This window comes from Homo sapiens, chromosome 13 (assembly GCF_000001405.40).
Source record: "Homo sapiens chromosome 13, GRCh38.p14 Primary Assembly".
In the NCBI taxonomy this organism is placed as follows: domain Eukaryota; kingdom Metazoa; phylum Chordata; class Mammalia; order Primates; family Hominidae; genus Homo; species Homo sapiens.
Window position 1 is genome coordinate 75500459 of NC_000013.11, and position 12952 is coordinate 75513410.

The window sequence follows — 12952 nt, forward strand, 5'->3', positions numbered from 1 at the left end:
AAAAATTGCTCTATGATAGATCTTCATTTCCCATATTGGAATATGAACAAATACATTTGTAAACTACAGAGGTTAATGTGTTTTAATTTTTCATAATACATGCTAAATTATTAGGATTTTAAAATATTTATTATGGAAATTTTTCACACACACACACAAAAGAATAGTATGACGAGCTCATTACCCAGCTCTAACGATTATTAATAAATGGCTAATCTTTCACCTACACCTCCAACCACGTTCACCTCTCCCCAATTATTTTTAAGCAAACTGTATTCCTCATATCCTTCATTTCAGCTGTAATGATTTTAAAACTATAATTGTCATTCCTAAAAATACAATTTAATATTGTTTTTCCTAAAAATACAACTTAATATCATAAATTTCCAGCTAGTGTTCACATTTCTCTAATTGCTGTACAATTTCTTTTACAGTATACTTGAGTCAGAATTTAAATTCCATGCATTGCAATAGGTGGATATATCTCTTAATTCTTTTTTTTTAAATTGCTGACTTTCCACTTTATTTTATTTTTATTTCTTTTTGAGACAGTGTCTCTACTCTGTTGCCCAGGCTGAAGTGCAGTGGCATGATCTCGGCTCACTGCAACCACCGCCTCCCACGTTCAAGCGATTCTTGTGACTCAGCCCACCGAGTAGTTGGGATTACAGACATGCGCCACCAAGCCCAGCAAATTTCTGTATTTTTAGTAGAGATGGGGTTTCGCCATATAAGCCAGGCTGATCTTGAACTCCTGACCTTATGTGATCCACCAGCCCCTGCCTCCCAAAGTGCTGGGATTACAAGCATGAGCCACCATGCCCAGCCCCTCTTAATTCTCTTTTAATCTATTGATTCCCCCGTCATATCTTTTGTTTTGCATTAAAAAGAATTTTAGAAACTGGCTTGTTTATCATATAGTGTTTCTTATGGTCAAGATTTTGGTAATTACCTCTTGGTGGTGTCATTTAATACATCCTTCTGTCCTTATATGTCCTGGAAAGTGCCTAAGCCCTGTCCAATAGAATGTTCTGCCATGATGGACTTGTTTTATACACTATCCAATACACTGTCTATGTGGCCATGGAAATGTTACCTGTGAAGCTGAGGAACTGAATTTTTAATTTTATTCCATTGTAATTCATTTATATACATTTAAATAGCCACAGATAACTAGTGGCTATAGCATTAGAAAGCAAAGAGCTAGAATCCTGATAGGATTGAAGGTAGAATTTTTTTTGGTTTTCATTTGTATTTGTTTTTTGTTTGATTTTGTTTTGGTTATTACAACAAAATCACTTAATAGGCAATGTTGTGTACTTTACAGAAGAAACATACTGTCTCTCTGTCTCTCAACATCGAAAATCATTTCCTTGATCCATTAATTCATTAGGACTTGCAAAATTTTATTATCATTATGGAAAATTTAAACATACATATAATTAGACAGACTCATATAATCAACTTTATGAATTCATCAACCAACTTATGGCCAGTGACGTAAGTTACCCTCTACTGACTTCCCTTCTCTCCTGTATCATTGTAAATTAAATTCCAGATATCATATTTTATTCATAAATATTTCAAAATTCCTGAATATGGAAGCTAGTGACTCTTTTTAAAGAGTCATTATTCTCATTCATTATTCTCATAATCATCATTCTCATACCTAAAAATGTTAATAATACTTCCTTAATAGCAAATGTTATAGTTGGTTGTTACAAATTCCAGATTTAAATATATTTGATATATTTCAATTTATTGAAGTTGTTATCCTTACTGGCTATATTAGTCCATTCTCGTGCTGCTAATAAGGACATACCCAAGACTGGATAACTTATAAAGGAAACAAGTTTAATGAACTCAGAGTTCCACATGGCTGGAGAGGCCTCACAATCATGGCAGAAGATGAAGGAAGTGCAAAGGGATGTCTTACATGGCAGCAGGGAGGAGAGCTTGTGTAGGGGAAGTACCCTTTATAAAACCATCAGATCTCCTGAGACTTATTCACTATTTTGAGAACAGCATGGGAAAGAACCACCCCCATGATTTGTTACCTCCCACCAGGTCCCTGCATGACACAAGGGGATCATGGGAGCTACAGTTCAAGGTGAGATTTGGGTGGGGACACAGCCAAACCATATCACTGGTGTTCAAATTATCCCACCTTTGGGCAGTTTGATTTCTTCCATGATAATGGATTTCACAGTATATTCTTCTTTACGTTTCCTGCCCTAGACTCTGAATCCATCATTTCTCCAGAGTCCTGGTTTCTTTTCATCACATCATATCAGGGGATTTATGATACTAACATGATTTATCACCTATGATACCAAACTTGACCACCTGGTTAAAATAGTGTTTGCTAGGTTTCTCTGCTCTAAAGTGACTATTTTTTTTTCCTTTTTTATGCCTTATTCCTTGGAATTGAATCACTAAGTCTAGCCCACACTCAGAGGTGGAGGATGGGGAATAAGCTCTCCCTACCTCCAGGTGGAGGAAGAGTATATACATATGTAATATTTGGAAATATTCTGTAAGGAAGATTTGCCCCTTCTCCCCAAATGATTACTTTATTCAATCATTTATTTATATCATGTGGGTTAATAAATATTTATTTCATACTTGGGTTGTAACCCAATACCGTGTTACTTATTTTGTTGTTCAAATTGTTTCAGCTTTGGCAATCAAGAGGTCCTTCGAGTTGACTCCTGTGTCCTTTCACATGCCCCACTTTCTTTCTCTTCTTTTTAGCATTTCCTTGCTTTTTGGCATTATGAGATGTTCTAGGTTCATCTTGTATTTTGCCTGCCCTAGTCCTAGAATCAACCATTTCTCCAAATAACTTACAATAGGGTTTTAGGATATAAAGTTATATGAGAGGGGCTACGATTTTAGTTAGGATATGTTCAAATTTATGTGATGAATCCTAATAGCATTCTAGTGTATTATATCCCAGTAATTCTGTGCTGACCCATTGGCACCATGTCCCATTGTGAAAGCTCATTATTCTGATCATATGGAGAAATTAGAAGTCTCAAAGAGATTTTAATTTTGCTCTGTCTGAAATATCTGCATCTATGGAAATTAATAGATGCTGTACCTCCACTTCAAGGTATATAGTGCCATCTCTTGCCCACAATATAAAATCTGAGTAATACAGAATTACTGCTGATTTCAGATATCTATCCAGAAAGAGTTAACTGAGAAATATTGGGGAAAATGTTAAAGTAATTTCTACTAATGTGTCAATGTTCTCAGTGATCACCAAATACTGAACCATGCCTGCAGATCTATAAATTTTCCCTTGCATAATCACACCATCAGATCACCTCTGAAATAAAGTTGTTTCAATGTAAGATGGCAATGCAACTTGCAAGTTCTGTTGGGCTGACAAGCTTTTCATATTTAAGAGGTTAAGTTTAGGCCAGGCGCGGTGGCTCACGCCTGTAATACCAGAACTTTGGGAGCCCGAGGCAGGTGGATCGCGAAGTCAGGAGTTCAAGACCAGCCTGGCCAACATGGAGAAACCCTGTCTCTACTAAAAATACAAAAATTAGCTGGGCATAATGGCGTGCACCTGTAATCCCAGCTACTGGGGAGGCTGAGGCAGGAGAATCACTTGGACCCGGGAGGCGGAGTTTGCAGTGAGATGAGATTGTGCCGCTGCACCCCAGCCTGGGTGACAGAGCGAGACTCCATCTCAAAAAAAAAAAAAAAAGTTAAGTTTGGAACAATTGCATTAAAACCTAGCTTTCATCATATCCACCCCAGAAAAGCAACCTGAGGCATTAAATAATTCTCCTATCTCATTCACTCTTATGACTATTGCCAAAGTCATTGATTTTATAGATGCTGATTTCACTCTGCTGATACATCCAAGTTTTTAACTTCTGGAATTTCCTTTTAAACAACTGACTCTCTTTGTCAAAATAAATAACATCACAGTTTTCTAGGGGATGCATAATTAGCCACTTTCCTCATCAAATCTATGGTTGTTAGCTTCAGCAGGGCCCTTAATAATGCTGTCCTTCCTTTTGCACCCACCTGTTAATTACCTTTCCCATTTCTCCTAAGCAGCTATTCAAAACATTTACCACTTTCTACAAGCTCTCAATTCAACCTCGCTCCTCCTCTCATTCTCAGAATATTGTTCATGTTCCATTAATTACGAACAAGAGACAACAGGCCTCAATTCACTTTTTTCTTTCTTTCTTTTTTTTTTTTTTTTTTTTTGAGACGGAGTCTCGCTCTGTTGCCCAGGCTGGAGTGCAATGGCTCTATCTAGGCTCTCTGCAAGCTCCACCTCCCGGGTTCACGCCATTCTCCCACCTCAGCCTCATGAGTAGCTGGGACTATAGGCGCCCGCCACCACACCTGGCTAATTTTGTTTTTGGTATTTTTAGTAGAGACGGGTTTCACGGTGTTAGCCAGGATGGTCTCTATCTCCTGACCTCGTGATCTGCCCGCCTCGGCCTCCCAAAGTGCTGGGATTACAGGTGTGAGCCACCGTGCCCGGCCTCTTTCTCTCTTTTTTTTTCTTTTTTTTAGAGACAAGAATCTCTCTGTGTTGCCCAGGCTGATCTTGAAATCCTGTGCTCAAGTGATCCTCCTTCTTCCTTGGCCTGAGAAAGGCTGGGTTTACAGGTATGAGTCACTGCGCCTGGCCCAGGCCTCACTTTCTGTATCAGACAGGGTTCTGAGTTGCAAGCAACAGAAACAAACTCTGACCAATTTAGGCAAAAAAGAAATTTATAGTTATTGGGTAGCTCACAAGTTCTGAAACACCAAGAATGAGACTTGGAAGTTACAGAACTAGCAACGATGCCCAATATACTGAAACTCGGAAGTTGCTGTGGGTAGAGGCAATTTGGAGTAAACTGTATTATTGTTAAAAAATATTTTCTTCTCTCTGCAGGAGTTGTATATTTTCCTGTCCCATTATTGTTCAGCTTAGCAATATAACTTCCTGTCTGATGGAATGTGAGTGGAAGTGATGTCTTCACTTCCCCAAAAATTTTAAGAGCCACTGAGTGGATTTACCACTTCTCCTTTCCATATGCCACAAGACTTACAATTCCATGATAGCAGCTGGTCCTGAAATGAAGACAGCTGGAGCAGAACCCGAGTTAACCTGCAAGAGACATTTAACTGGAATTTGAAGGTTTTGTTGTTGTAAGCCACAACAACAAAGAGGTTGTTGGTAACTGCAACGTAACCTGTGTGAACTGGCTAATAGAGGACAGCTGAATAAATGCACACGGCTCACAGCTGACAGAGCAACCAGCCCAAGAGATATCCTTAAAATGCTGATATTTCCATATCCTTAAAAATATTTGAAATATGAATGATTTGTGTCTTGAGGTCAGGATCAGTGCCTTAATTATTCAATTTATGATGAAATATTTTGAACAAAATATTTTTCCACTCAAAAGTTATATGCTATTTTACGTTTTTAAATGGAAGCAAAAGTGACTTGTCTTGAAAATAGTCTTCTAAACCACTGTAATATTTGAGAAGAGTAAGAAAATCATGATTCATAATGTTTCTATTTGTGAACCCTGAAAGAGGCAATCCTTTGATATGGATCCTGAATAGGTAACTGGGCCTAAATTCAAAATAGAGCAAAGTGGCCATTTGCTGACTAGAGGTCACATTCACACTCTGCTTTCTCAGAAAACTCACATGCTCACGTAACTTTGAGACTTTCATAGCTATCTGTTCCTCTTTACTTCAACTGAATCAACAGCTGCTGGAAAAATCCTATGTTGTCTTCTGAAATTAACCAATAGGCTGTAAGTTGTGCTGACCAATCAGAACTAAATAAGCATCAACCAATCAGAACTGAACAAGTTTGCATCCCTTATTTGCATAGCAGATCAGACTGGGAACCTGGGTGGGAACTTTCTCTTTTTTCTATAAAAGGCAACTCCTCTCTTTGTTCCCTCAGAAGAAACCTTGGTTTTGTACAGAAGGCTGTGTCTCCCCATTTACAAACTGTTTCCTGGAATGAAGTCTCTTTTCTTCTTAAAAAAGAAAATCCTTTTGAGTGGATTTGTGGCCATACTGCAAAAATAATTCTCACTCTAGTTCAAAGACTTTCTGAGCAAATGGAATATTAGCATGACAACTCTCCAAGTAATTCAAGTAACTCTGTAACAGTTACCTGCGATGAAATAAAGATGAAGAGGCCCTGTAAACACTTTTTTAAAACAAAAAGCAAATATTTTTTGAATGCATAGTTACCTAGAGCAACAGAAAGATTCATATTTCTGGTCCTCCTTTCAAAATAAATAAATAATGCCTTTTTAAAAAATAAGTCCTTATGGGCTCTCTGATACAAAGCCCTAAGAAACACACAATCTCACCTCTGTGGTATTCCTGCCAAAGACATATAACTGTACCTAACCATGAGGAAATATCAGACAAACCTAAACTGAGATATGTTCTACATAATAACTGACCTGAACTCTTTTAAAAATACCAGTACTATAAGAGACAAAGAAAGATGGAGGAACTGTTCCAGATTAAACAAGGTTAAAGACACATGCCCCCTGAATGTAACATATCATCTTAGATTTTCTTTTACAATAAAGCACATTATTGGTGTCACAAAATCCTTGGGGTGTCACTTCACCAGCTGGAAACTTCTTTGGCTGGCAGTGCCTCTTGCCTGAGTATTACTTGCACCCGCTGGGCCCGTTCCACCCACTCAGCCCAGCAGGCTATGATCGGCTCACACTTCTGGCTTGGATCCCACACCTGCCCAGGGTGAGCCAGGCGTGGAGCAGCAAGGGGTGTGTGGGTGAGCAAATGCAGGGTCCAGCCACTGCACACAGCCAGGCATGCCAGCTGCTGTGTTGGGGCAGGCAGCTCCAGATGCTGGCACAGGTGCTGGCTCCAAGCAAGGCTGCAGTTGGGCCAGATACACTGCACACAGTTTCTGCTGTGGGCACCCGCATCTGGACAAGGGGGATGTGGTGGCATCCAGAAGCTTGGAGACAGCAGGGACTGCAGAGACCCAAAGAGGGTGTCACAGCTCTGGCTTGGTGAGCCCCTAGGTCTGGGATCCCGGAAGGGCCACAGCTCTTCTCTCCTTGTCTCCTTCTCATCACCCACAATGTGGCAAGCGGTGGGGGCTGGGGGGTGTGTTTCAGCCCTGTTTATGTTATAACTCTTTCAGTCCCACTATTCAGTGAGTCTCAAGTTCTTTTCCCAAGTCCAGGAAGAATGAGGTATGGGGACAGCTGTAGGGTGAGCAAGGTGGAGAGGAGCTTCATTGAGCAACAGAACAGCTCCCAGGAGACCTAAAGTGGGTAGTTCCTTCTGGCAGTTGGTAGTCCTGATGTCTGTGTGAGTCTGGCTGAGTCTCTGGGGTTTTTATGGGTTCCGAAGAGAGGAAGTGCATACTGATTGGCTCATGGGCGGCCACGGGCAGGCTGGGAAAAGCACCATAAGTTGTCACTCTGGGCTGCAAACTCCACCCTGAACTAGTAGCCTGGTCCCCCAGGCTTCAGGCCATCCCTGGCTTGAAAGTGGAGTTTCACTGGGGACCCACCAATAACCTGTCTGCCTCCTGCCATCAACATGCCATCCAAGGTGCCCAAGCTGTTCATGCCAAAGGGTGCCTGCAAGCCTGTGCTGAGCTGCCCTCAGCTCCCCTTCTGGCTTCCCTCTTGCACTCATTGGCATCCAAAGTCTGGAGGTGGCAGGGGGCTGGCATGTTAGCATAGCCCTGAGTGCATGCACACCCAGCCAGGTAGCAACAGCACCCAGGCTTGGCCACAACTTTGCTCTGCACCAGAGTGGGTGCCGGGAGCAGGGAGAGGCCAAACAGTGGGAGCAGGCACTTCCAAGCCTGCAGGGGCAGGGGCTTCCCAGGCCCCTGAGAGCACAGGAATGCCTGGGTCCAGAGCCGTGGCCAGGCGGCTACAGCTGTATCCAGGAGCACAGGCCTCCAGTCTTGCCAACTTGGTAGGGGTAGGGCTCCTGCCCCCTACAGAGGTGCAACCCCAGCTGCACCTCCCACGCTGCAGCCAGCATCTTCGCAGCGGCCACTCCAGACAGCTGCTGCTGCCATCATTGGGACACTGGCAAAAACTGAATAAGAATTGAAGATTAGGTGACATCAGTGTTAATTTTCTGATTTCAATATTGATTCTGTGGTTAGTTGAGGTGTTCCTTGTTCTTAGAAAATATACACTGCAGTATTTAAGGGGGAAAATGAAAGTGTGAAGAGGGTACAAGAATACTTTATTTTTTATTTATTTATTTATTTATTTATTTATTTATTTATTTAGTTTAGAAAGAGTCTCACTCTGTTGCACAGGCTAGAGTGCAATGGCCTGATCTCTGCTTACTGTAACTTCTGCTTCCTGGGTTCATGCAATCCTCCCAGCCTGGGCAACACAAAGAGACCCTGTCTCTATAAAAAAATAAAAAAATTAGCCAGGCATGATGGCACGTGCCCATAGTCCTAGCCTCAGCATGCTGGGACAGAAGGATCCCTTGAGCCTGGGAGGTCGAGGCTGCAGTGAGCCAAGATCGCACCACTGCACTCTAACCTGGGTGACAGAGTGGGACCCTGTCTCAAAAAAAAAAAATTGTGGTAAGAACACTTAACATGAGATTTCTGCTGTTAAAATTTTAAGTGTACAATACAATATTGTGAACTGTAGGCACAATGTTGTACAGAAGATCTCTAGAACTTAATCATTTTGCACAATTGAAATATTATACCCATTAATAATAATAACAATTAATTAATAGTAACTCCCCATTTGTATCTCCCTCCAGCCCCTGACAACCACCATTGTGCTTTCTGCTTCTGTGCATTTGACCATTTTAGATATTTCATATAAGCAGAATCATGAAGTATTTGTCCCTCTGAGACTAGCTTATTTCAGTTGGCATAATGTCCTCAAAATTCATTCATGTTGTCACACATGGCAGGGTTTCCTTCTTTTTTAAAGGCTGGATTATATTTTATTGTATATATAGACCATGTTTTTTTAATCCAATCATCCATCAATGGACATATAGGTTGTTTCTACATCTTGGCTATTGTGAATAATGCTACAATAAGCATGATAGTGCAAATATCTCTTTGAGATAATCATTTAATACTTTAAATTATTTTAGTTAAATATCCAGAAGTGGGATTGCTGAATCAGATGGTATTTCTATTTTTAGTTTTTGAGGAGCATCCTTACTGTTTTTTCAAAGCAACTGCACTATTTTGCATTCCTACTCACAGTGTACAAGGCTTCCAATTTTTTCACATCCTCTCCAATACTTGTTACCTTTTGTTATTTTGACATTAGCCATCCTAACAGGTGAGAGGTGATATCTCATTGTGGTTCTGATTTGCATTTCTCTGATGATTAGTGATGTTGAGCATCATTTCTGAGAGCTGTTGGCCATTTGTATGTCTTCTTTGGAGAAGTGTCTGTTGAACTTCTTTGCCTTTTTTTTTTTTTTAAGAGATGGAGTCTCACTCTGTGACTCAGGCTGAAGTGCAGTGGTGTGATCACAGCTCACTGCAGCCTCAAACACCTGGGCTCAAGGGACCCTCCTGCCTCAGCCTCCCGAGTAGCTGAGACTACAGGCATGCACCACCGTGCCTGATCCCCATTTTTAATTTGGTTTGAAGAAGCTCCTTACGTATTTTGAATATTAACCACTTATCAGATATATGATTTACAACTATTTTCTCCCATTTCACAGGTTGCCTTTCCACTCTGTTGTTTCCTTTGCAGTTCTAGTATCATTTTGATATGAGCTTTTTTGTTCTCTTGAAGCTAATTTTTGTACACAGATATTACAACGTTTATTTTTGTTTTAATAATTGGTACTTAACATATAAAAGTTACTTCAAAACCCCACTCTGTCAGCTTTTAAGGTCAGTTTACAAATATTTGTAAGTCAGACATTTCTAAGAAGCCTTTGAATGATATTCAGCTCCTTTTTCAAAGTTAAGTAGCTTCAACAATTTTAAAATTTTCTAAAATTAATTTTTCTAATTTTATTTTTCTGTACTTCATCTGTTTAATCTGAATTAACAAACAAGATCTTCCATGGGTTTAAATAACTTCAATATACATAAGAGGGTAAGTATACAAATAAGCTGAAACTAAAATTTTCTTAAATGTTCCATCACCATACATAAGTTGAGGAAGTTATCACCTTAGACTCTCAAGTCTAAATCAATTACTCAATTCCATATCCTAGATTGAAGTTAGAAGGCTGTCCCTCTACTAGGACAAATTATTTTATAAAACTACTTTAAATATCAAATATGTACATATTCCTTTTAACATAAAAGTATTAGTACTATGGTTTCAATTCTCTTAACTATTTCTATACTTACCTCAAAACCCTCTGGAGTGGAAAAATGTATATCCACCTGAGGAAGATTGTTACTATCTCACGTAACTGTGCTTGCCAACTCAGTATGAAAAACAATTTCTGCCCCAATTAATTACAAATGTTTTCGGCGTGGACACTGTTTGTTTTCAAGCCCCCTACTGGATTGAATGAACCCTATTTTTTAAATGCTATTTAATAGTTGCTGGGTCATGGGCTTTAAGATTTAAAAGAGGGTTGGTTTGGCGGGTCATGGATCTCAAATTCATGGATTTAAGTAATAGATACATTAATTTCTCCGTATGCTCACAGATGTCTCTGGCACCTACTGAGGTTTATCATGTGATTGCATTTTATATTTCCTCAGTTGTTAAGAAATATACTTTTGTATAAACATAGTTTAGTAGATAAGATCTCTGTTTCTGAAGTCAGACTGTCTGGGTAAGCATCCAACTCTGACCATAGGTGCATTACTTAGCATTTTTGCACCTTGGTTTTCACACTTGTAAAAATGAAGATAACAGTACCTACCTCATAGGATTGTTATAAGGATAAAATGAATGAATGAATATTTATAAAGCACTTAAGCAGTGCTTGGCACACTCCTACCTACAAACACTTATCCAGTACTCACTGATAAGGAATACTGCTCCCCAGATGACTTGTCCTCGCCCTAAGTTTTGAAAGCCACTACCACAAAATGGTAGATCCTCAGGGGCATGGTCTTCATTTCATTAACCTTGTCTCTTGACATATATTAGGTTGGTGCAAATAATGGCAAATTACTTTTAATTAAAAGTAATGGCAAAAACAGCAATAACTTTTGCACCAACTTAATATGTAGTACAGCATAGGCACTAAGCATATGATTGATAAATGATTGAATGTCTGTGCTAGAAAGCAAGTTTTTTCCCTCTCTGGGTGGCATTTTTAGAGTTTTAGTGATCCTCCTGTCTCAGCCACTTAAGTAGCTGTGAAAGGCATGGGCCAGCATGCCTGGCTATAATTCAAGAGTCTATAATAATTGATTGTAACTACAATTTGTTATTATTTTGGACACAACATTGTAACCCATGTTATGAGCCATTGATAAGAAACTCTCTTTTAACTGATGTCAGGATGTTGTCCACGATGACATCTGTCCCATGGTATAGTACCTTCTCTGTTAGGCAGGACACGTGGGTAAAATTTAGATCTCTTTCCTTGAATAAATTAGGCTTCATCTTGAACTAAATGTGTGATTTTACCTTACAGTGTCTCTAATGGGTGGCAGAGGTTGTTGTTTTGTTGTTGTTAACGTTAGAAAATTCATAGTCCAATTTGCAATCCAACCTAAACCACTGTACATGATAGTGTCCTATACACACATATTCTCTGCACTGAACTTACCCTGGATTACTATTTCCTCCTAATATTTTTAAAGTGTTCTGATTTCTACAATGCTTTTCTAACTCTTTCTACTGTGTGTATTTTCTCAGACACATCAAAACTTCTCAGATGAGCCACATAGGAAGACAAAGAGGAAGAAAATCAGGGCATCGAAACTGTAACAAGTCTAAAAAAAGACTGTGTGGGGAAAGAGGGGATTCAAGTATTTAGTATTGAAAAGTGAAAGCCAAAGACTGAGAATTAGTCAATGTGTCACTAAGCACTACAAGGGAAGAGACTAGACTGACCAGCTGTCAGATGTACTTGGGCCTGCTGGACAGATACATTTTTCTGGTGAAGACGGCTGCATCTGGCTTGCATCATTCCCTATTCTCTGATTTCATCTTCATTGAGCATCCTTCAGATTCGCATTCCTCAAAGAATATTAACATGTTTTCAGTGTTTACTATGTTACATATGGTATTTAATTTTACAGCAATCCTACGAGTTGTTTTCCCTATTTTTACAGCTGAGAAAAAATAGCTAGCCATGTCCTTTTTTTTTTTTTTTTTTTGAGACAAGGTCTCACTCTGTCACCCAAGTACAGTGGCATGATCAGGGCTTACTGGAGCTTTGACTTCCCAGACTCAAACGATCCTCTCACCTCAGCCTCCTAAGTAGCTGGGGACTACAGGCACCTACCACCATGCCCAGATAATTTTTTAAAAATTTCTGTAGAGACAGAGTTTCACTATGTTACCCAGGATGGTCTCAAACTCTGGGGCTCAAGCAGTATTCCCATCTCAGCATCCCGAAGTGCTGGGATTACAGGTATGAGCCACCGCACCTGGCCATAGCTAGCCATTTCTGCCAGGAGCTGCCACTCTGGCCTCCAAATATCCACAACCCTTCTCTTCCCACACATAGAAAACACCACATCTTTATCTAAGTGAAGGATCTCCATTTGATGCTCATTGCCACCATCATATTCAAATGTAGATCCACATACTACAGCAACCTAGGAACCAAAAGTCAACTTATCTAGCCACCCATTACACACCTGTAATTTAAGTGTAGCCTAGAGCTACCTCCTTAACATATTTTAAGTTCAGCCTAAAGGTTTCTCCGTATATAGTGAATGGTAACCAAACTGGATGTGTAAACAGACTGTAAGCCACTCTTATACCAATCACCATGTTTTGGCCAATCAAAGGCAACC